Raw genomic sequence first — 26200 nt, 5'->3', positions numbered from 1 at the left:
TGTAATGGAGGACCCTTTGTTATTGGCATACCATTTAAGTTTCTGAAAATATTCTGCATTTCATTTAAACTAAAATGCCCAACAGCATTTTAATATGAAGGAAGACAGCCATGTCGGCAGTCATGAAGACAATTTAGATCCTTATTATCCTTTTCCAGCACTGGTGCATGTTCTTAGACTTGTGGGAATATGAGCCAGGATAGTATTGTCTTTGACAGCATGGGTTCAAAGCCTGGCTTTGTCACTTATCAGTTTTAGGATTTTGGAAAATTTCAAATCATTTCTGTGATTTAGTTTCCTCTTCTATAAAATAAAGCTACTAATAATATTTACCTCACAAGCTTATTGTGAGAATTAAATTATTTAACATAGTTAGGGCCTTTATAGTGATACTTGGCACCTGGTGAGTTTTCAATGAATGTCGACTACTATTTTAGTCTACAGCATAGTTTCTTTATAAGTTAGAGAACACATTCCAAAGCACTCTATTCATCTTTGTGCTACATTTTCTTGTGTCTATGAAGTAATGACAATTTTTAAACAGATGTTCTAGTTATGTTTGTGACCCTGTTGAAAGTATTTCCTAATGAATATTCCTGCTCTTTTATGTAATATATTGACATGACTATGTTTGTGAAAACATATATTTTACTGGTAAATTTTAGGGATAAAAACTGACTTTTTTAAACAAAAGGAACTGGCAGAACAGGGCAGGGGATGGGACACTGGACTGGGAGCCTGGACTAGTGGTCTCCAGGGCATGGTTTTAACCAAGGGTTATACTCTGGGCAGGGCACCCCACTTCCCTTCTTGGTTTCACATTTGAAAAATTAGAGAGTTATCTAAATGCATGCCAAAGGCTCACTCAGTGCTCAAAATCTATGATTGTTTCCTCTATAGACATAATTATTATGTAAGCCCACACGTTTATTCCCATGATGTCACTATGTTTACAATATTTTAAGGACCTATGAAAAAGTAGCATGTTCTTTGATTATTTTTGATGACATCAAATTTTCCTTTTAAAAGTAGACTGAATTTTTCAAACAGTAAAAAGTGTCTTGACGTTATGTTTGTTGAGTAGAATGAGTGTTTTGAGTGTTAAAAATGTGATTTAACTATAAGGGAATAAAAGAGTTTTGGAGAGAGTCTTATAATTACTCTGGAGAGTATGTGTGTGTGCGTGTGTATGTGTGCGCATGTGTGTGTGTGTATTTTCAAGTGCAGTGTAAATTTGTGGTTTTAAGTTCTGGAATATTTTGTTAAAAAGCCTTTAGTAACACCTAGATTATATCAGTAAAATAACTATGCTTTTTGTAAACCAATGGGTTTCTGAATAAACAATATTTACTGAGATCTAGAAACAGCACAAATCTTATTTGTAAAAAGGCTAATCAGACTTGCTGCTTGAAAAGCAGCTTGGTCCAGCATCATGGGCTTATTATCCAGCTGAAATACTGCCTTGCACCTTGCACTAGTCATTTATCTTCCCTGTAGCTCAGGACTTATCTCAGAAAAATCTAATAAAGATGCTTGTTCATTAAGGGTACTGTTGCATCTTGAATATAGTGTTCCCTGAATGCTGTATGATGTAGTGCAAGAAGAATGGAAATTTGTATCACTTAAAAATCTACCCCATGGGGTTGCTGTTTGATGTCTAGGTTTGTGCTTAGCAGTGAGAATGCTATATGCTTCTTGAGAGTAAAGGTTTATAATTGTTTAAAATTTGGCTACAGTTTGGCAAGACTAATAAAACTAATCTCAAATCATATGGAGCCCATAAATATTTTTGAAAAATTCACATACTGGAAATATCACTAACTATACTTATTCTGTCATCTATTTAGACTAAACTCTAAAATAAATGTAAATTATTTGGATTCTCCACTAGAAGTAGCAGTCAGGGTGCTTGCTAAAACTCATAGGATATCCGTCATAAAAGTAGCTCCACAAGGATTCAGGAAACAGAAAAAGAATGATAGACAAAAGCTTACTCATTTTTCTTGTTTATTGAAGTTCTTTAAGTTAAAAATCCTCAATTCAAAACAGATGTTTTAAAGAGGAGGTTGCTCTGAAATAGGAATAGCATATTCCTTTGTATGGATTCCAGAGGCTAGTCCTTATCTAAATAGATGTGTATTATATGAGAAAAGAAAACAATTTCCTTTCACATCTTATAGCATAAAATGTTATTCTTTTAAAGCAAAAATATATGTATAAATATATATAATATATATATTATTATAGCATCCTACTCCTGTCTCCCTTTGAGAGTGAACCTTCAGTGTCCTCTTTCTTGCTTTTATTTTGAGACTCTTCAAATGTTCTCCTTTCTTAATTATCTGCCCATCTTAATTATCTTGTTTTCTTGATCTGGAACAGAAAATGTGGATACAATGAAACCAGCTGATGTTAGTGGTATATATATACACACATAAAATTAAATAAAACATATATATAAATTAAAAAAAAGTCTGATGTATTGTGAGAGAGAAGAACAATACCAATAGGAATATGTTACTGTGATGTGAGCAACAACAGAATAGAAATCTGTAGGTTGTATGGTTCTTAGAAATAATTATTTATTTACCGGGTAGTAAATGATCATAATTAAAATAAATAATCACTGCCTTTCTAAAAATGATGAAATACAGCTGATGCAAACTTGTAATAGATGACCAAGAAAAGGAGAAGTAAGACAGCTGGAAGAAGTAGGAGAAAAGAGGGGGCTGTTTGTTGCCATTTAAATCTGCATAGCCTTTCTTGTTCAGGGTCCTGGATTTTATGCACTTCTTTGATTTTTCACCAAGTTCTCCCTATCCTTTCTCCAAACTTATCTTTTTTTCTAATCCCTTTTCCTAATTCTTTTGTAGTATTCTTACTGCTTCCCAGCTAGAATACTTGCAAATGGCCTTCTTCAATTAAAAGCTAACCTAACACCTCAGACTCCTCAAATCCTCGTCTGTACAGATATTTCTCTTCTCAGAGCCCCACAAAGCTGGTGAACGGTGCTGCATAAGGACACGAGCTTCAACCTGAGGCCTAGATCTGTTTGTTATTAGTTGTGTGAATTTGGCAAGATATTTAAGTCTGAGGCTCAGTTTCCTCAAATTTATGAAATGCAATGCACAGAGTTGTGGCAAGCATTATATGAAACATATCAAGTGTTTAGTGTAGTAGATGCTTTATAACTAGCAGCTGTTGATAGTCTATCACATTCAATTTTAGTTTCTCTACCTAAATCCCTCAACTAATATTATTTCCAGTGAAGTTGTTCCTTCTCATCATCCTTTCAACACATGATGGCCGTTTTTATTTATGTGAATCTCTCATGTTTTCCTGAGTATTTTACCTGCACCTGCTCTCATATCCAAATTCGATTTATTTTTGAATTCTCCCTGCTCAAGTCTAGTAACCATTTTTATTCTAACCTTCACTGATTTTGTTTTCCTTAAAATTTTTCCTGCAAGTATTGTCTATACTATATAGTTTAATGTATACTTTGATATTGCTTAATGTTTACAAATGTGTCTCAATAATGTCACTTCTGCTCTCAGAGCTTGGGGCTAGTTTATATTTTGCATCTCTAAAGGGAAGCCAGTTAACTGTTTAACTTCTGGTTTTATGTACCTTTCTGAGAGATTCTTTTAACCAGCTGAATACAGAGCTTAAGCCATTTGTTGACCAATCCTGGAGCTACTAAGTGGGCAATCAATGGGGGCTGCTTTTTTCCCCTTGCTGAATGGTGAACAGAATGCTTGGAAAGCACCCCATTCCAATTGGGGTATTAAAGGATTAGGATTATGCTGTCAAGTTAAAGGAATGTTTTTTACTTTCCTTGTGGGAAAAAGCATAAAAATTATTACAGCAGGGAGTTGGAAAGAAGGGTAGGCAGGTGCTGTGTTTGTTTTCTTTTTCTTCTTAGATTTTTTTTCTTAGCTTTTTTATTGGTTGGATGAAAAATTATAGAAACCAAGAAAGAAAAAATAATTATGATAAGAAGGAAGACTTTAGAAATTATCAAGCAAGCAAAATGCACAGAGGTTTATCTGGCTGTAAGTAAATGGGCTGATCTTTAGCCAAAAAGTTAAGTAGATCTTTTATTCATGTATGAAATAATTATTGAATGCTTACTGCATGCTAAACAAGAAAGTGGGCACTAGAGATGTACAAACACACGTGTGAACTCAAGGAGCTCAGGAGCTTTCCAACAGGAGGTAGGAAACAAGAGGTAAAGTGTAAGAAGTATCAAGATAGAGAGAGGTAAAAAGATCTAATGTTCTCTTTTTGAATAATTTTTTGAATAATTTGTATTTTTACTTGTAAAAATACAAAGTAAAGCACTAAATATTCTAATACTTAATAGGAAAAAAATTCTTATAGTTATAATATTAAATTAAATATTCTAATAGTTTATAGGAAAAAAGACTACAACTAAGGAGTATAAAACTAATCAAATAAATGAATAAAAGTAGCTATTTATGGACCCATTATGAGAGTATTGTGAAGTACCAAGGATTGTGATTTGTTCTACTCTTTGTGTGTCTATGTGTGTGCATGCATGCATGTGTAGAGAGAGAGAGATAGAAAGAGATCTTATACACCAGTAAAAGACAAACAGAGAGCCAAATCATGAGTGAACTCCCATTCACAATTGCTTCAAAGAGAATAAAATACCTAGGAATCCAACTTACAAGGGATGTGAAGGACCTCTTCAAGGAGAACTACAAACTACTGCTCAACAAAATAAAAGAGGACACAAACAAATGGAAGAACATTCCATGCTCATGGGTAGGAAGAATCAACATCGTGAAAATGGCCATACTGCCCAAGGTAATTTATACATTCAATGCCATCCGCATCAAGCTACCAATGACTTTCTTCACAGAATTGGAAAAAACGACTTGAAAGTTCATATGGAACCAAAAAAGAGCCCGCATTGCCAAGACAATATTAAGCAAAAAGAACAAAGCTGGAGGCATCACGCTACCTGACTTCAAACTATACTACAAGTCTACAGTAACCAAAACAGCATGGTACTGGTACCAAAACAGAGATATAGACCAATGGAACAGAACAGAGCGCTCAGAAATAATACCACACATCTACAACCAGCTGATCTTTGACAAACCTGACAAAAACAAGAAATGGGGAAAGGATTCCCTATTTAATAAATGGTGCTGGGAAAACTGGTTAGCCATATGGAAAAAGCTGAAACTGGATCCCTTCCTTACACCTTATACAAAAATTCATTCAAGATGGATCAAAGACTTCAATGTTAGACCTAAAACCATAAAAACCCTAGAAGAAAACCTAGGCAATACCATTCAGGACGTAGGCCTGGGCAAGGACTTCATATCTAAAACACCAAAAGCAATGGCAACAAAAGCCAAAACTGACAAATGGGATCTCATTAAACTAAAGAGCTTCTGCACAGCAAAAGAAACTACCATCAGAGTGAACAGGCAACCTACAAAATGGGAGAAAATTTTTGCAATCTACTCGTCTGACAAAGGGCTAATATCCAGAATCTACAAAGAACTCAAACAAACTTACAAGGAAAAAACAAACAACCTCATCAAAAAGTGGGTGAAGGATATGAACAGACACTTCTCAAAAGAAGACTTTTATGCAGCCAAAAGGGACATGAAAAAATGCTCATCATCACTGGCCATCAGAGAAATGCAAATCAAAACTACAACGAGATACCATCTCACAGCAGTTAGAATGGCCATCATTAAAAAGTCAGGAAACAACAGGTACTGGAGAGGATGTGGAGAAATAGGAACACTTTTACACTGTTGGTGGGACTGTAAACTAGTACAATCATTGTGGAAGACAGTGTGGCGATTCCTCAGGGATCTAGAACTAGAAATACCATTTGACCCAGCAATCCCATTACTGGGTATATACCCAAAGGATTGTAAATCATGCTGCTATAAAGACACATGCACACGTATATTTATTGTGGCACTATTCACAATAGCAAAGACTTGGAACCAAGCCAAATGTCCAACAATGATAGACTGGATTAAGGAAATGTGGCACATACACACCATGGAATACTATGCAGCCATAAAAAAGGATGAGTTCATGTCCTTTGTAGGGACATAGATGAAGGTGGAAACCATCATTCTCAGCAAACTATTGCAAAGACAAAAAACCAAACACCGCATGTTCTCACTCATAGGTGGGAATTGAACAATGAGAACACTTGGACACGGGAAGGGGAGCATCACACACCAGGTCCTGTCCTAGGGTCGGGGAGTGGGGAGGGATAGCATTAGGAGATATACCTAATATAAATGATGAGTTAATGGGTGCAGCACACCAACATGGCACATGTATACATATGTAACAAACCTGCACGTTGTGCACATGTACCCTAGAACTTAAAGTATAATAATAAAAAAAAAAGAGAATCCCTAAGTGTTTATTTGAAACACACTTGTTAAAAGTGTGTGTCATTTTTGTGAAACGCAGTATAGCAGAATGGTTAAGAGACCCAGTTTTTGGAGCCAGACTCTGGGTTTGAGTCTCAGCTCTAATAATCGACAGCTTCCTGAACTTGCACAAGTTACTTTACTTCATGATGTCTCAGTTTCTGTATCTGTACAATTAGGACAGCAACAGTATTTACCTCACGGGTTATTATGTGTAGTAGCTGAGAGTCTAGCATATAGTAAGGACAATATAAGAATATAAGCTTGACATTATTCTTATATGCTTTTAGAAGAAATATAAGGGAAGACAGAATGTACAGTGACCAGAAAACTGGATATGAAATCAGAAATTTTGAATTTTTTCCAATTTTATTGCTTTTTTTTGTGATTCTAAGCAAGTTGTTTATTCCTGTGGACTACTTTCATCCCTGTCAGAAAGGGCATAGCTACTGTTAGTTCCATTTCTAAAAATTCTCAAATTCTGCGATTAGTTTGAACAACTGTTTATATATGTGTCACTATCATGAATCTAAGAAAAATTATTCTCCATGCAACTTGGAACACGTAATTGTTTTTGTGACTTTGGGTAGTTCTATATCCCAAGTTTAGGGTCTAGAAGCCAATAAGCAAAATGTGACCTCTTTATGGATGAACTATAAAATTAAACTAATGAATTTTTCCCAATATCCACTTAAGATTTGAGAATAGACTTGAGCTCATACTTTTTGGTTATCTTTTTAGCTTTCTGCATTGTTAAGATTCTGAAGTCAACACTGGAGTTAACTTTATTTATTGCACAATGAAGTCAACCCGAAAAATTCAGTTTTCTTCATTCTTGAATGCCTTTAATGAGGCAACATATGACTAAATGTTTTTAAACTAAGAAGTTACAAGATGAGAACCACATAAAACATCTGATGACAAATCGTGTCAGGTAGAGAATTCACTGCAAGCCTTACTTACCACACTCACGCACACATCTGATGACCAAAAAAAAAGACTGACTTTAACTTCTGCTGCCAAGTTATCTAGTTTATGTGCAGAAAGGACACAAAAGGAAGCAAAACTCTTCTAGCCATTTCTATGGTTATATAAATTCTAGCACTTACTGGTTCCTTGAAGTCATTCCAATGTGTGTTCGCTCACATACAATCATACATGTGAGTGTATTGATATAACCCATGTCTCCGAACCTGAATTTGATGCTTGTCCAGGTGCAGACTCATCCACTCAGTGTATGTACTTGTAGCATAGCAGTCATGCACTAATAAGCAATGCTATAATGAACAAATGTGCAATGCCTCATATGATTGTTCTAAAGTGCCTATGAAATATATAAACATATAAGACGTCTGGCAGGTAGCAGATAATAAATGTAGTTACTGTATCACTATATATTTTTTATTTTACATACTAATATTTATTACATATTAAAGTAACTTAATATTTTAGAAGTTGTGTTATAGAAATATAGTCACCTGAAAAGTAATATTGAATTATTAAAAATCACCTAGTATACTATATTTTCAGTGAAAATAATCACAATAGTAATATGTAATATCAATGGCCCCGGATGCTGATGTATAAAACATACTGACCACAGTGTACTAAAATGGTTAAATTTGATGATCTTTATAATTTTTAAAATCAGTTAACAGAAAGGGAAGATCTCTTTTTCCTTATGGCTATAAAAAAATGGAACAAATGCAAATATTTTCTGAATTTAGCGAGAGGTTTTGGGTGATAAATTAATGTGGCACATGTGTATAAAGAGAGGAGCTGGCACACTGATGATCGCCAGGTCCTGCTTCTTTCCTGGCTCTCCTTTTCTCCATATGTCCAGGGAATCAGGATGCAGGGTGTCGTTACCAAGAAACTCCACAGAAAGAAACAATTTAAACTGCCAACATCTGTACTGCATATCAAACAAAGGAAAAATAATGCTTAATGCTTAATAATACTTTTTAGCAGTTCACTAGAGTACATTTTCTGAGAATTAAAATCTCTGATAGGTAAAGCACTGCAGGGCTAATAAGAAATGCAACACTTGGTGTGATTTATTAAACATTTCTTTAATTACTATTACGTTCATGCATTATTTTTTACATAAAAAATCCAGAAAATCGCTGGGCGCGGTGGCTCATGCCTGTAATCCCAACACTTTGGGAGGCTGAGGCGGGAGGATCACCTGATATCAGGAGTTCAAGACCAGCCTGCCCAATATGGCAAAACCCCATTTCTACTAAAAATACAAAAAATTAGCTGGGTATGGTGGCGTGCATGTGTAATCCCAGCTACTTGGGAGGCTGAGGCAGGAGAATCACTTGAACCCGGGATGGGGAGGTTGCAGTGAGCCGAGATCGCACCACTGCACTGCAGCCTGGGTGACAAGAGCGAAACAATGTCTCAAAAAAAAAAAAAAAGCCAGAAAATCAAGTCTGAAAAGCAAGAACATCTTTAGCAATGAAAAAGCCAATTAACCATAACTAATCAATAATCAATAATCCTTTTCTCAACTAGCTCTGTAATGTTAAGCATGCATTAAACATTTCTGCTGGTCTTTTACCATGAAACCCTGGATCCCTTTTCATTCTATTATGCTTTTCCATCCTCACAACTAAATTAAAAGCAGTGGTGTGTTTCTTCCCTTAGAAGGGTCTCTTCTATTTGTTCCTTCTCCGTATTTCCCCTTGCCCCATCAAGGTCAAGTTCCAGGCTTACCTTCTCTGGAGAGCTTTCACTCATTTTCCTTTGCTTAACTACTCTGTATGCTGTTCAATTATTTCAGTACCTTAACTACACAATTTAAAATAATATAAATAAATAATACTGATATTATATACATATATATCAACACACATTTATAGAAATGTCTATATTGTTCTTTGTTTCTTGTGCATGGGTCTTATATCTCCAACTAGATGCCAAGTGCTTTACAGACGGATTCCCTATGGCATAATTGATTTTTGTAGTTTGTTCCTCTTAGAATTTGCTCGTCAATAAATGTATTTTGATTGATTATTATTTAGTATTTTGCTTCCCAGTTAATGCATATGTATTTCACTTTTGGCTCACTATAACCTCCACCTCCCAAGCTCAAGCGATTCTCATGCCTCAGCCTCCCAAGTAGCTGAGATTACAGGCATGCACCACCACACCTGGATAATTTTTGTATTTTTAGTAGAGATGGGGTTTCTCCATGTTGGCCAGGCTGGTCTCAAACTCCTGGCCTCAAGTGATCCACCTGCCTTGGCCTCCCAAAGTGCTGAGGTTACACGTGTGAACCACTGCGTCCAGCCTATTCATAATCCTTTACTCCTTCCTTCCCTATATGTGGGGTACATTTACCCACTCTATTGATTTTGGGCTTGGCCATGAGACTTGCTTTGGTTTGTGATCTGTGGGCAGATGGAACATATGCCACATCCAAGCAAGAAACACAGGAGGCACTGCAGGTTTCTGCCAGCCTCTTTTACAAATGCTCTTTGCAATGAGAACAGCATGTCCCTGTTAGGTCGGCTTCTTCAGCCTGGGCCTTGGAATGAGAAGCTTGCACAGAGTAGGACTGCAGTTGACCCACAGCTTGAAGCATAACACAACCAAATTACAGCCTTGTTTCATGAATGAGAAGTAACTTTTCTAAATCACTTATACTTTAGAGTTGTTTGCTACACAGAAAAGCTGACTAGTACAGGACCTTAGAATTAATCTAACTTCATTTTGCATGTCATGAGAGAGGTTTAGATTTTTATGGTTTGCTAATGGAAGAGTTATGACACAAATTGTGAACTACTGATTTTTAGTTCTTTTAAAAAAAAACATACACACAAAATGCCTGGATTTTTTGTTATCCTAAAATTTGGAGAAATATAACTCAAGTTGTTTGAAATTTAGGGCCTTAGTACTATCTGGAACTGTCCTCTTGGACTGTCATTAGATTCTAGAGAATAGGTAGAAGAAAATCTAGAAAATAAACAAAATGTACTTTCAGTATAAAATGGATATACTTCTATGTGGAAGATATTAATCTGTCTTAGGTCCAAGCTTGTTTGGTAGGAGATATAATGAAATGCAGTAATCTTTGTGCACTCCTTTGAGGCCCAAGTCTTTCATATGCATTGTTAATCTAAAATATATATTTAAAAATCTTCCATTGTAAACAACTCCTTCATCATAGAAATTCTGATTTGAAAATGGATATAATGTCTCAATAAGTTATCTCCTTGATTTCCATGACAAAATCTCACATATACTTTGATGTTAAGCGGGGAACTCCAAAATCTTAACCATTTCCTTTGAAAAATTCAGGTGGAAACATCCCTGTCATTATCTGCTTCAGTCCATCAGAGCTTTAACTTGGTCCTGAAGTTTATGTTATGCTTTTGTATCCTCAGAATGAATTCATTTTCTTAACTCTGTGACATTTGTTGCTAAAAATTCAGACTAGACTACTAGTTTAATTCTAATAGAAATTACTAACACACCTACTTTCTTTTCCATGTCAATTTTTTGAGAGTAAAACCAGTTATATGTAGCATTATTTTTCCCGCTACTTATGGAAAAAACAATACTTCATGTTTTAGGTAATGAGTGTCTTATTGAACAACTACTTATAACTATCTTTTTTGTTGTTGTTGTTTATTGTGCTTCTCCTAACAAAGGAAACAAAATGTAATAAACCAGATCTGGTAACCAAATGGATATTCTTTGTCTAAATTTCATCTCTCCCCTTATTTGGTCATACACAAATCTTACCTTTGTGAAAAAACATCTCGGTAAGGACTGCCATGTTGTAATGCAATTCCATATCCCCGATCAGCAACAGTATTTCCAATGGTGTAAAAGGAACAATCTGGGTCATTGATAGCCACATATTCCAATACAGCTGCATCCCATACGAAAGCATAATTTCCATATTTTACCTGTGAAAAAATGAAGAACAAAAGAAGAAATAGGGTTTAAAGTTGGAATTTTAATTTACATAGACAGGATGAAAAACATTACATTGGTATATATTTAATTATGCTAAAAATAATAGAACATATAATCATCCTTCAGTATCTGTTGGGGATTGATTTCAGAACCCCTGTGGATACCAAAATCCAGGGATGCTCAAGTCCTTATATAAAATGTCATAGTATTTGCATATAATCTCTACACATCCTCCAGTATACTTAAATCATGTCTAGATTACTTATGATACCTAATACAATGTACATATGCTATGTAAACAGTTGTTGCGCTTTATTTTTGTTTTGTTTTGTTTTGTTTTTTCTGAGACGGAGTCTTGCTCTGTCGCCCAGGCTGGAGTGCAGTGGCGCGATCTCCGCTCACTGCAAGCTCCACCTCCCGGGTTCACGCCATTCTCCTGCCTCAACCTCCCGAGTAGCTGGGACTACAGGCGCCCACCACCGCGCCCCGCTAATTTTTTGTATTTTTAGTAGAGCTGGGGTTTCACCGTGTTAGCCAGGATGGTCTCAATCTCCTGACCTCGTAATCCGCCCGCCTCGGCCTCCCAAAGTGCTGAGATTACAGGCGTGAGCCACCGCGCCCGGCCCACTGTATTGTTTTTCATTTGTATTTTTATTATATTATTACTCTCTATTGTGTTTTAAAAATATTTTCAGTTCATGGCTGGTTGAATCTGCACATGCAGAACCTGCAGATATGGAGGGCAGACTGTATTTCTAAGTAAGCTTTTATTCTGAATGAGAATTTGTACTTTGGTTAATTTATATCTCTGTTCTGAAAACATGGGAAAGGTCGAATGTTTACTATACTTTTAGGCCACGTTGCTTATAGTAAAATGACCCCTGAGTGGAAAATGTCATTTGGATTGAGAGAACAAAAAATGCATGAAAGGAAGCCATGTCTTTGTGCTTCTACCAGTTCAGTGATTCATGTGACTGGGACTGCCCCTTCTGGGGACCCTGAAAGCTATGCCTTTGGGGTTATGACAAGAGCTACTGACGCCTTGGGTTACTAGGCTTCTAAGCCAGGTGGGCTTCTGTACTCACTCAGTATAGGTATCATCTTGCATGTGATCCCTATTCTAAATGAAAGCTGCAAGTACAACTCACATTGAAGAAAAAATGACAATGCTGCCCTGCTGATGAGCTATATCTCCTGTCCTGTGTCCTTCTAAATTAATCTATTGTCACATGTGGCCTATGGATATCTTGCAGCTGAACTTAGAAGAAAACTCCCTGGTGGGCATTGCAATGAGGAAAATAAAACGATTCCACAACCTCCTCTATCATCACTTAAGGAACACAACTTTACTCTGGTTCACTTACAATGTCTTTAGTGATTATTTTTTTTCCCCTCAGTAATCACTCATACACTAAGTCACAAATTTACCCAATAAAAGCCCAACCTACTATCCTAAACATCTCAATAAGGTATATTTTCAACTTTTTCACATATAAAAATGGACTTAAGAAATTCATAAAATAAATAGAAGTAATAGTTAAACTCCAAGGTTAGTTTGCTTATATTAAAAGAATAATGTAACATTATTAAACAAGGAAAAGCAACATTGGTTCAGTATTAGAAATGTTACTGGGGTGACAACATATCTTACAAATGAGGCTTTATAAAATTTTTAAATGATCTTTCAATAGACACAAGAAAGATACTTGGCAAAATTATAAACAGTTGTCTACCTGTTATCTATCTATTGGTAAACCAGGAAGAAAAAAAATCCGTAATGAGATACAGAATACTTCAAACAACAGCAAGCCTATTACAAGCTTAAACTCTCTTTGCATTGCCATTAAAGTAAAGAAAATTATGCTTGCTAGTAATCCAAAATTAACATTATTGTAACAACTTTATCCTATGCAAAAAAGGATGGAAACAAAACTATGATTGCAATCTATTAGGAAAAAATTATCATCCAGTAGAGACAAAATTATCATTATTTGATGATATATTCAAGAAGCCCACCAGAATCAAGTGAAAAAGTATTTTAAAAATTCAGATTAAAAAAATAGATTGATCATAAATGGATATATACAAATGATTTGCTTTTCTATTAATATATTAATGAGATGATAGTTTGAGTAAAAATATCTATGTACATTAAATATAAATACATAGAGAGAAATTTAACAATAAATTAGTAGGAGCTATATGAAGAATACCTTAACACCTGACTGAAGACAACTTGAACAAGTTTCTGTATAGACATAACATATTCCTAAGAATGCAGATGCATAATTACAAAAGACATTTAAATTTTCCTCAGATTCTCCAATACAAAATGTAATTCTAAATAAAATGCCTGAAGGTTATTTTAGAACCTCTTAAGACCTTTGCAAATTTAATTAGGAGAAAACAGACAAGAATAGTAATGAAATTTTGAAAATTAAAAAATTAATAATTATCAGAGACTTAGAATACCAAGTAATGAGACATGTTATAAAGCTTAAAAATAAAACAGTACAAAATGTATTTAAGAATAGAAAATCAGTGGAACAGAACAAAAGTTTACTGTTTTTAAAAGTATATAAATGTTATATAAAGACTGTATTAGACTGCATAGTATTCCATAGTGTATATGTGCCACATTTTCTTTATCCAGTCTATCATTGTTGGACATTTGGGTTGGTTCCAAGTCTTTGCTATTGTGAATAGTGCTGCAATAAACATACAGGTGCATGTGTCTTTACAGTAGAATGGTTTATAATCCCTTGGGTATATACCCAGTAATGGAATTGCTGGCAGTTCGTGTCCTTTGCAGGGACATGGATGAAGCTGGAAACCATCATTCTCAGCAAACTAACACAGGAACAGAAAACCAAACACCACATGAACAATGAGAACACATGGACACAGAAAGGGGAACATCACACACCAGGGCCTGTTGGGGGGTCAGGGGGCTAGGGGAGAGATAGCATTAGGAGAAATACCTAATGTAGGTGACAGGTTGATTGGTGCAGCAAACCACCATGGCATGTGTATACCTGTGTAACAAACCTGCACAGGTTCTGCACATGTATCCCAGAACTTAAAGTATAATAATAATAAAAAAAAGAATCATCTGCCATCATAAAACTTTTACCTCTCTTTAAAAAAAAGACTGTATTAGAAAGTCGATAAATCAAATCAGTGTGGCAAATATGAAATATTCAAAAAACGTGAGACAGGTGATTATTGCAAAAATGTCAATATTAGAGCACTATGTCACATCACACAAAATAAATTTCCGTAGTGGAATAAATTAAATATAATTTTTTAAAGACCAAGTTTTAAGAAAAGAAAAACTAGAAGAACATGCGAGACTTTTTTTGGTACTGAAAAAAGAATGGAATATCAAAACATAAAGGTAAAGGAAGCAAATATAGAAGAAATATTTAATTGTTGCCTTTTAATAAATTTGCTTAGATCCCACCAATATTGGATACCCAATAAAAAGTTTTGTATGAAACAATGAATGGCCTAAAACCTTCAGTCCAGTTAACTGTGCTCAGTGGATACTTACTGTCTTTTGTTGAGGTGAACCCCAACCAAACCATGAGGTATTGAAACAGACAAAAGTTTTTTCCCTAAAGAAAGCATTTAATTCAAGTATTACTCATGGAGTGTCTGTGGTACCCTAGACCCTAGTTTAGGTGCTATCGGTCAGTGTTTCTCACAATGTGATGCGAAGACTACCACCATTAGAATTACTAGGGGATTTTTGTGTTAGAAATGTAGATTCTAGATCTAATCCCAAAGTTACTGCATGATGATGTTTGATGTTTAAGGCCTGGGAGTATGCATTTTAACAATCCTGACAGCTTATGCACACCACTTTTTTATTACTAATGATGCTGATGATAAAAAAATGAGTAATATCATCGGAAACAATTTTATATACGTGGGGCTTGATATAATTATAAAACTAGGAGATGCTTGGAGTGTTAGTGTGAGAGAAGGAAAAACACTTGGTTAGGTTTCGTCTGCATTGATTTCTCACCCACAGAGTTATCCCATAGTTTCCTTCTTTTCTCTGATCTTTGCAACCAACTTGCAGACCTGCTTATAGCTCCCTAGGTCTAAATTTACAGTGATTGGGAGTAGCAGTGACCTTGAAGCTTCCTCTAACAACCTACTTTGATTTTTGTGATTATCTTCTGTTTTAAACTGTTAGTCTGGCCTCCTGGATCCCCTGGCAGCTTCTTTACAAACCTCAAGGGACCTCCCCAGTAGGCGACATATTGCTTTGCTGTTAGAAAAGTTTTCTAGCATTGTTGTCAATGCTTTGTGAACTGTAGAGCTCTACTTAAATGTATAGTAACATTATCCTTGCCATTATATATGCTGTCTCTTGCAATACTAATGTTCCAAAGAATTATGAATGGATTTTTAAAAAGAGAATCATTAAAACAGTGTGATTATAGCCTGTAGCAATGGCAATGAAAGGTTGCATAGTAACCCAAACTATTTTAGCTTTTAAAAATGGCCCTGGCCTTTTTCATCAATTAAAACATATAATCACTGCCTTTTGAATGGTCTTTAACCATCAAATGAAAACTCTATAAAATACTCATCAACAAAGTCTGAAGTCACCTTTCAACAGAATAATAATTGAAGGACTGGCCTAAAAATTTTCAATCCATCTGACTAGGTAATGGAGTTTTCTTAAAATTTTTCAACTAGCCCTGTTCTTGAGGCCATGTTTAGACAGGCAACTGAATCACATGCCATTGATTTATTTACTAATGGATTCCACACCAGCAGAGTCCTTCATACTAGGTTAAACAGAAGAAAGCAAAAGTGAATCTGGGAGCTTCATGTCAGCATATTCCAGGTCTCATTATGAGGAAGAAAAATAATCCAAAGTGATATCTACCTCTAGTGTTTTCAATCTCCAGACCCCAAAGTAGAGATGCTAGGATGCTATGGTTATTGATTGACATTGGTAACTATTGAGGCTCAGCACCTGTGTCCTCGTAATAGTGCCTGAGATATCAATAGACTCCCCGTGATAAATTTCTCACTTCCCAGATAACACTAGGAGCTAGGTTTTGTTCCCATTTCTATATTTTTCTTTAACAGTTGTTGTTTAAATTCAATTTTACTAACAATCATTACACATTAACTCTAAAATCCTGAAGGTTAAGTCTATAAGGAATATAAAGGTAAGACTTGGGCCCCCATCATCAAGCTGCTTACAACTCAGTAGTGGAGATAAGTCAAGTACAAAATTGTTGTAACACGAATCACATTATGGTAAGGATCATATGAACAGATTTTGTTTAAAGTCGTAAAAGAAAAGGGAAATTAATTTTTGTTGGAAGGAATCAGGACAAGTCTCAAATATTCTGGTAACTGAAATAGCTGTATAAGAAAACCCCAAATATTTAAATTCCTTATCAATAGTACCTAACCAATTGAAAACATAGATATGCTTTGGAGACCATTTCTCGTTTATGCACATTCCTCTAGCCTAAAATTTTTTGAAATTTTCCATTTGTCAGGTGAAGAACTGTAAATATTCAATGTTATTTTCTTGAATATTTGCATTTCTTGCCAAGTAAAGTGAAGAATGGGAAAGTGCATTTTCAAAACCTGCACCTATGTTCCTCAACATGTTAGGGATTATGACACATTTCTATTTGTATATAGATTACTTGTGTCCTGTATGCTCCTGTTCTGACATCTCCATCATGAGCTGATGCTGAAAGCACTTTGCTTTTTAATTCATTAGGTAGCAGCCTCCTGTACTAACTACAGAAGTCCATGCCACAAACAGACTTATCGCTACCTGTTATCTCACCAATTTTGATTTGAATCGGGAGGACAATACTCTTTCTCACATGAATCTTTAATTTAGTAAATTTCTTAAAAGCTCACTCCAAAATCTATGGCTTCAGAGACACAGAAGTGATGATCCTTTCTTATTAAAAAACATTCAGTGGGAACAATTATGGAAAAGTGACATTAAACCAAAAGGGTTAGATAGGAATTTCCTTTGCTAAAGAAAATCCTCCCTCTGTCCTCCATTTATTTCTTATGATAATAGATAACATTTACCAAACATGTTTCAACTGCTAAAAATGCCATTTACATACACATTTATTTGTTCTTTACAACACTGTGAGACAGCTGATAGGATATCTAATTCACAGGTGAGGTAATTGTAACTTGCTCTAAGTCATACCAATGATTTGCGGTAGATTTGGAATGTGAGATCAAGGCTATCTTCCTATGCTCTTTGCACTACATTAAATATAAATTTCTGGGAGATTCTCCATAGGAATGCAAAAGCATGTGACATAGAATAGCCTTTGCCTGTAAGGTATAGCCTATGGAGTTTGAGAAACAACAGTTACGTAAAGAAATATAATGCTATGTAGTTTACGGCAAGGGCCACAGAAAGCATGCAGCTTCCTCAGTTCTATATGATCACGGTATTAAGGTAAAAAAAAATTGGGCTTTTAAGAAAAAGGTTGCTTACTTCTCAAGATCATTGGAAAAAATGAATATTTGGTTTATATGACTCTGGACCCTCGAGGCCTGTTGATTTTGTAGCCATTGCTCTCTAAGCATTTCTGATTCTTAGGAATGAAACAAAGCAGAGCTTTTGAAAATTAAAATAAAGCTTGAATAATGAAAATCTATTTTTCCTCATCAAATAAAAATGAAAAGGCCTGAGAATAATGTGAGGGAAATAAATTCTAGCCTTGCCCACTAAGCTGCAAACTTCTTTCCAATTTTAACTAATGGTCAGTGGGGGATAATGTGATTGTGAATCACAGGCGCAAAGAGTTATGATTAACCCAGAATTGATTTACAGTGGTCCTTATAATTCATTGCCCACATAAGTCCTAAAGATGGGATGGCTTTAATATTTATAACACATGGTTCTGGGCGGTAGCCTCTCACACTTTGGGCAAATTAATAATTTAGCAGCATTCATCAATTCTTCTGAATTTATACAGCACAATAAATCATGATCAAACTCAAGTTTAAGTACTTAAGACTGACTTTAAAATATATATGGTTTTGTTTACTGCTACCTTAATTGTTGGCCTATGATAATTTATCTGTTATTTTGTCAAAATTTTAATTTGTGCTCTGACATAGTTATCATAGGGCACAAACTTTCAAAAAGAATATATGAATGTATTTAAAATAAACATCAACTTTTTTAAAAAAATCAATTTTTTAACCTAGAAAAGAAGTGTTATGCCCACCTCTAAATCTTATTTCTTGCCTGTTCTTTTGGAGATTATCAGGAATACTAAATATATTTTTTAAAGTTTTTAAAAGCATTCTAGGAAAATAGAAAACTGAATGTAGCTTCTTTACCCTCCGCTGCCAACTTTTTCTTGAAACAAATGGCTGCTGGGCTCTGGAAGACAGAAGGTTAGAAAGGTTGGGGCTCTAGGTAGAGCATGTGGGAAAAGAACTGGTGATTCTCTCCTTCAGGCTGGGTGTGTCTGCGAAAACAAGTGCAACCTGCAGGGAAGGCAAGGAAGAAACTAAGTTTGAGGAAAGCTTGGTTCACAGAGATCTGTGGCTCCCAAGTCCTCCGGACTTCCTTCCTTAGATATTTGTTACCATTAATATACATGTTCTGTTGCCTTTAAACTGGCCAGAAAGAGTTGAATGGATGGACAGAGACCTCCCTATCCTGGAGTCCTGTGCCTTGGGTCAGACCAGAAGACTGGAGAGCCCTTAGCTGCTTCTGTGTGTCTCAGGAGGGGAATGGAGTCACCTTGTTTGTTCTGGCCCACAGGAAGAGAGGATATTTTACCTTCTACAATTAGCAAGACTGCCAGTCCCTAGGCTACTTCAACAACTAGACCTGAATCCTCATGAGCTGACGAAGAAAAAGAATAATCCATGTAGTGAGTTCCACAGTCGGAAAGGGAAAAATAAATTAGAACAAGTAGAATACACTCCAGGGAAACAGCAGTGTGGAAGATTACAATTCTAACAGAAAAGTAAGAAGAGCACTTAACTGGATTCAAGTGAGACCAAAAAAATCTTTGAGGCTACAACAAATAATCCAGCCCCAGTTTCTCAACCAAAGTATTGAATAGATGAATTGACGGAAATGCTCATAAATGTAAGCTTAATAGGAAGAGCTAGGGTGACAATTGCCCAGGTTTGCCTCCAATGCCCAGTCATAGCACAAAAGCCCCATGTCATGAGTAAACTTTCAGGGAGGCAACAAATCCAGGTTTTTGGCAATGGGTACAGAAGGTTAGGGGGGGTAGTATCAAACCCATACCACGGCTCAAAAAATAGCTGAAAGCAACACTGTTTTTGTAGCAGATGGATATGGCATAGATTATGTTTCCCACAGTTGCTGTCACTGTTTTTCCTCCTGACTGCTGATGTTGGCAACTGTGATTTGCTGTTCACAATAATGAATCACCCCTTGTTGCACTGCTGTGAGTGCTGAGGCTTAAGTGTGTTACTTAAGCACATTGTATTCATGAGTATTAACAGTCCTTTGTCTGTGGATTAACGGTTTTCTTGGTATCATCTCGATACCAAGATAATGTTAATTTAACTTTCGATACTGGTTTTTTTCTGAGAGTTCAGATAATAAAAATGAGAATGATTATAATACCAATGCCAGCATGACCCGAATATCGCTGAAAAATAAGGCTAAATGACAATGTTATCTTATTACAGATGGAAGGACAGAAATAACTGGATCAGGGAGGCAAATAACCAAGACAAACTACTGCACAATCTGCAGAAAAGAAATTTGCAATTGGGTATGATGGAGGAAAACGATGTAAAAACACATATGCAGACTGAATCTCATAGTTTGGAATAAGACAGGGAATACTTCTAAATCAATCAAAAGATTCTGTGTCTCCCAAAAGACACCAATGCACAGTTAAAAACAGTGGCTATGAGTTAGTTTGGGCATACCACATCAAGAAACATACATTATTGTACCATTCCCCTGATAGCTCTATAAAATGGAATGAAGCTACTTTTCCTCATTACTAGGTTTCAAATAAAATGTGCCGTGGGAAAACAAAAGGACAAAATTTTGCTAACAGACGTGTTGGCCTCTTACTCTATAGAGCTGATTCTTTCAGATCTTACTTGAATGTTTTCTGCAGTAAAGTTTTGTGTCAAATAATGGCAACAAAAACTGATTCATCTAGCTTTTAGGTACTTTTATTTTAAAAATGGAGCTTCAAATCATCTTCTTGATTTTTATGAATTTTTTTTTTTTTTGAGATGGAATCTCATTCTGTCGCCCAGGCTGGAGTGTAGTGGCATGATCTTAGCTCACGCAAGCTCCACCTCCCGGGTTCACGCCATTCTCGCCTCAGCCTCCCGAGTAGCTGGGACTACAGGCGCCCACCACCACGCCTGGCTAATTTTTTGTATTTTGTTTAGTAGAGATGGGGTTTCACTATGTTAGCCAGGATGGTCTCGATCGCCTCACTGATTTTTATGAATATTTTAATAAAACTGCAGAAAACATAAAGCAAAAGTTTACTGATATTTTGTCCAGATACTTGCCCTCTACCTGCATATTCTATAGACATTGCAAGTGTAAATTTAAGCAAGTTTTGTTTAGTCTATAAACTTTTTTTTATATTTATTTTATAAATATAATAAAATATTTATTTTATAAATATTTATAAAAATAAATATTTATATTTATTACAGCCTGGGCAACAGAGTCTCATTCTGTTGCCCAGGCTGTAATGCAGTAGCTCGTCTGAGACCACTGCAGCCTCCACCTCCAGGGTTCAAACCATTTTCCTGCCTCAACCTCCTGAGTAGCTGGGACTACAGGTGTGCACCATCACACTGGTCTAATTTTTGTATTATTTTTGGTAGAGACAGGGTTTTGCAATGTTGGACAGGCGGGTCTCGAGCTCCTGGCTTCAAGTGATCTGCGTGCCTTGGCTTCCCAATGTGCTGAAATTATAGGCGAGAGCCACTGTGCCCGGCCTTAGTCTATAAACTTCTTATCTAAGAAAATTAAAAGATCTTACCTGCAAAATGAACTGCACAGCTTGTGTACAACATTGCTTACCTGTGATATTAAAGCTTTCATAATTAAAATTTTTGATCACTTTTCAGTTACCTCAAAATGTGCAGAAAAACTTGAGGATTTTTACTTAATAGAGATGGAAGGAGATAACTAGCTCCTTTAGACATATGACTACAAGATGACTATGAATGGCTAAAATGTTGGACTATCATAAAACCATTTTCAAAGTGTGAGACAAGAAGAAATGTCCTTCTCTAATTTGGAAATACATTGAGTGACAATGCAGAAAAGAATACAGTAAAATAAAAATTTATATACTATATTTCCAAACTTGCTTGATGATTTTTGAAAAAAACCATAGGAGTATAAAAAAGGATGAACTGACTGCACCTGTGTTGTTTGATGGTATGTGTAGATTGTAACAAAAACTCAGAGTGAAACAATGACACATTAAAAAAATACAACTACTTCAAAACTTTTTTACTACGAAACAATAAAAATAAAAAATAAAACAGTAAGTCACCACAACAAGGTAGCCAAGTTACACAGAACTTCCTCAATTTCCTTTTTTTTTTTTTTTGGGGTGAAGGCCTTTTATTATTAGCACATAATAATTGTACATATTTATTGGAGTATAAATTAGTTCAACCATTGTGGAAGACAGTGTGTTGATTTCTCCAGGATCTAGAGCTAGAAATACCATTTGACCCAGTGATCCCATTGCTGGGTATATACCCAAAGGATTATAAATCATGCTACTATAAAGACTTTCTCTATTTCTTTACTAAAACTGTAACTTTAGAATCTAGCACCAATTTCACAAAATTCAAATTACTCTTGTGCTTTAAAATCATTTTCCTAAGAGAGATTTCACTTATAATAACATCCAAAGTGCTTCAGAGTGTTTAAAAATGGTGGACACCTTAGATATATTTAGCTTATATGATGAATTTATAGATGCAAAGACGATTGACAAAAGCCTGGCCTTTAAAAGAAAGCTTGTAGAATCAAAGAGTATGGACATCTTTTTGGAGAGCTGGAACTAATTTCTATGAGTTGAAAAACATTATTGCTAATAATTGAACTCTCATTTTATAGTCAAATGCTTGTTAAGAGTATATTTAGCTTGGTGTCATCACATTGGAATGACACCAGAATCAACGTAATGCAGGCTTGATAAGAGCAGCATTGCACACCAAAGTGCATTTTATGTTTGACTATATTCAGTTCTACAACTGAATAAAAGAAAAGGAAGCCCCAAAAATTACAGGCAATTCATTGAAGTATTATCGGAGAAGAAAGAGTAAAATTGTCCTACTATATTTGGGGACAGAAAAGAACATGTTATTGCTGTTGTTATTTAATACAGTTAATATCTGTTAAATTAGTCCTGTAGTATTTATGTTCCCCTTTTAAAAAGTTTCACACTTATATGTCTTAAATACACACTACAAATGTAAATATCCAGCACGGTGTCAGCAAAGAGTTAAAAATAACTGCTGTATCAGAGGACAGAAAAAAAACCTTATTAAAATATTGTTATACTTTTGTCACATCTATTATTTAATTAGTACTACTATCAGTTACTACTTATTGACCCTGTTAACTCGTCCTGTTGTTTATATAGCATTTTGTAATAAAAATAAATAATACAGAATAATATATAATTTTAAATAAATGACTATTTCATGTTTTTATGTTAAAGTAATAAAACATATATAATTATTATTACACACTATATTTTATGGGTTTTGATCTGATGCATTTGTGTTCTGGGTTGTCTATCTAAAAAGCTGGTCACTTTTTAATGAATGTTGTTGGCATAATTGACAGGAAGAAAATAAAATCAAATCATTTTGTACTCTAAATAATAATTTTCAGGGGGGAGGAGCCAAGATGGCCGAATAGGAACAGCTCCGGTCTACAGCTCCCAGCGTGAGCGACGCAGAAGACGGGTGATTTCTGCATTTCCATCTGAGGTACCAGGTTCATCCCACTAGGGAGTGCCAGACAGTGGGCGCAGGCCAGTGGGTGCACGCACCGTGCGCGAGCTGAAGCAGGGCGAGGCATTGCCTCACCTGGGAAGCGCAAGGGGTCAGGGAGTTCCCTTTCCCAGTCAAAGAAAGGGGTGACGGACGCACCTGGAAAATCGGGTCACTCCCACCCGAATATTGCGCTTTTCAGACCGGCTTAAAAAACGGCGCACCACGAGACTATATCCCACACCTGGCTCAGAGGGTCCTACGCCCACGGAATCTCGCTGATTGCTAGCACAGCAGTCTGAGATCAAACTGCAAGGCGGCAACTAGGCTGGGGGAGGGGCGCCCGCCATTGCCCAGGCTTGCTTAGGTAAACAAAGCAGCCTGGAAGCTCGAACTGGGTGGAGCCCACCACAGCTCAAGGAGGCCTGCCTGCCTCTGTAGGCTCCACGTCTTGGGGCAGGGCACACACAAACAAAAAGACAGCAGTAACCTCTGCAGACTTAAGTGTCCCTGTCTGACAGCTTTGAAGAGAGCAGTGGTTCTCCCAGCAAGCAGCTGGAGATCTGAGAACGGGCAGACTGCCTCCTCAAGTGGGTCCCTGACCCCTGACCCCCGAGCAGCCTAACTGGGAGGCACCCCCCAGCAGGGGCACACTGACACCTCACACGGCAGGGTATTCCAACAGACCTGCAGCTGAGGGTCCTGTCTGTTAGAAGGAAAACTAACAACCAGAAAGGACATCTACACCGAAAACCCATCTGTACATCACCATCATCAAAGACCAAAAGTAGATAAAACCACAAAGATGGGGAAAAAACAGAACAGAAAAACTGGAAACTCTAAAACGCAGAGCGCCTCTCCTCCTCCAAAGGAACGCAGCTCCTCACCAGCAACAGAACAAAGCTGGATGGAGAATGATTTTGACGAGCTGAGAGAAGAAGGCTTCAGACGATCAAATTACTCTGAGCTACGGGAGGACATTCAAACCAAAGGCAAAGAAGTTGAAAACTTTGAAAAAAATTTAGAAGAATGTATAACTAGAATAACCAATACAGAGAAGTGTTTAAAGGAGCTGATGGACCTGAAAACCAAGGCTCGAGAACTACGTGAAGAATGCAGAAGCCTCAGGAGCCGATGCAATCAACTGGAAGAAAGGGTATCAGCAATGGAAGATGAAATGAATGAAATGAAGCGAGAAGGGAAGTTTAGAGAAAAAAGAATAAAAAGAAATGAGCAAAGCCTCCAAGAAATATGGGAGTATGTGAAAAGACCAAATCTACGTCTGATTGGTGTACCTGAAAGTGATGTGGAGAATGGAACCAAGTTGGAAAACACTCTGCAGGATATTATCCTGGAGAACTTCCCCAATCTAGCAAGGCAGGCCAACGTTCAGATTCAGGAAATACAGAGAACGCCACAAAGATACTCCTCGAGAAGAGCAACTCCAAGACACATAATTGTCAGATTCACCAAAGTTGAAATGAAGGAAAAAATGTTAAGGGCAGCCAGAGAGAAAGGTCGGGTTACCCTCAAAGGGAAGCCCATCAGACTAACAGCGGATCTCTTGGCAGAAACCCTACAAGCCAGAAGAGAGTGGGGGCCAATATTCAACATTCTTAAAGAAAAGAATTTTCAACCCAGAATTTCATATCCAGCCAAACTAAGCTTCATAAGTGAAGGAGAAATAAAATACTTTATAGACAAGCAAATGCTGAGAGATTTTGTCACCACCAGGCCTGCCCTAAAAGAGCTCCTGAAGGAAGCGCTAAACATGGAAAGGAACAACCGGTACCAGCCGCTGCAAAATCATGCCAAAATGTAAAGCCCATCGAGACTAGGAAGAAACTGCATCAACTAACAAGCAAAATAACCAGCTAACATCATAATGACAGGATCAAATTCACACATAACACTATTAACTTTAAATGTAAATGGACTAAATTCTCCAATTAAAAGACACAGACTGGCAAGTTGGATAAAGAGTCAAGACCCATCAGTGTGCTGTATTCAGGAAACCCATCTCACGTGCAGAGACACACATAGGCTCAAAATAAAAGGATGGAGGAAGATCTACCAAACCAATGGAAAACAAAAAAAGGCAGGGGTTGCAATCCTAGTCTCTGATAAAACAGACTTTAAACCAACAAAGATCAGAAGAGACAAGGCCATTACATAATGGTAAAGGGATCAATTCAACAAGAGGAGCTAACTATCCTAAATATTTATGCACCCAATACAGGAGCACCCAGATTCATAAAGCAAGTCCTGAGTGACCTACAAAGAGACTTAGACTCCCACACATTAATAATGGGAGACTTTAACACCCCACTGTCAACATTAGACAGATCCATGAGACAGAAAGTCAACAAGGATACCCAGGAATTGAACTCAGCTCTGCACCAGGGGGACCTAATAGACATCTACAGAACTCTCCACCCCAAATCAACAGAATATACATTTTTTTCAGCACCACACCACACCTATTCCAAAATTGACCACATACTTGGAAGTAAAGCTCTCCTCAGCAAATGTAAAAGAACAGAAATTATAACAAACTATCTCTCAGACCACAGTGCAATCAAACTAGAACTCAGGATTAAGAATCTCACTCAAAGCCGCTCAACTACATGGAAACTGAACAACCTGCTCCTGAATGACTACTGGGTACATAATGAAATGAAGGCAGAAATAAAGATGTTCTTTGAAACCAATGAGAACAAAGACACAACATACCAGAATCTCTGGGACGCATTCAAAGCAGTGTGTAGAGGGAAATTTATAGCACTAAATGCCTACAAGAGAAA

The 26200-nt window shown here is 36.5% G+C and overlaps 1 protein-coding gene across 17 annotated transcripts in view; it reads right to left on the bottom strand.

The window, feature by feature from the left end:
- The window catches only part of GRID2 (glutamate ionotropic receptor delta type subunit 2), a 1506491-nt gene that overhangs the window by 172823 nt on the left and 1307468 nt on the right, over window positions 1-26200 (bottom strand). For 15 of the 17 annotated variants that reach the window (NM_001440459.1, XM_024454024.2, NM_001510.4 and 12 more), the window contains one exon: window positions 11199-11365. In NM_001440459.1, the coding sequence (NP_001427388.1) occupies window positions 11199-11365 (167 nt within the window). Of the gene's footprint in view, window positions 1-8059; window positions 8359-11198; window positions 11366-26200 lie in introns of those variants that run through there. The other 2 variants (XM_017008122.3, XM_017008121.2) reach the window with 1 other exon arrangement.

The sequence above is a fragment of the Homo sapiens genome, chromosome 4, assembly GCF_000001405.40.
Source record: "Homo sapiens chromosome 4, GRCh38.p14 Primary Assembly".
NCBI classification, from domain to species: domain Eukaryota; kingdom Metazoa; phylum Chordata; class Mammalia; order Primates; family Hominidae; genus Homo; species Homo sapiens.
Note: the sequence above shows the minus strand (reverse complement) of the source record. Positions and strands in the feature narration are given on the sequence as shown.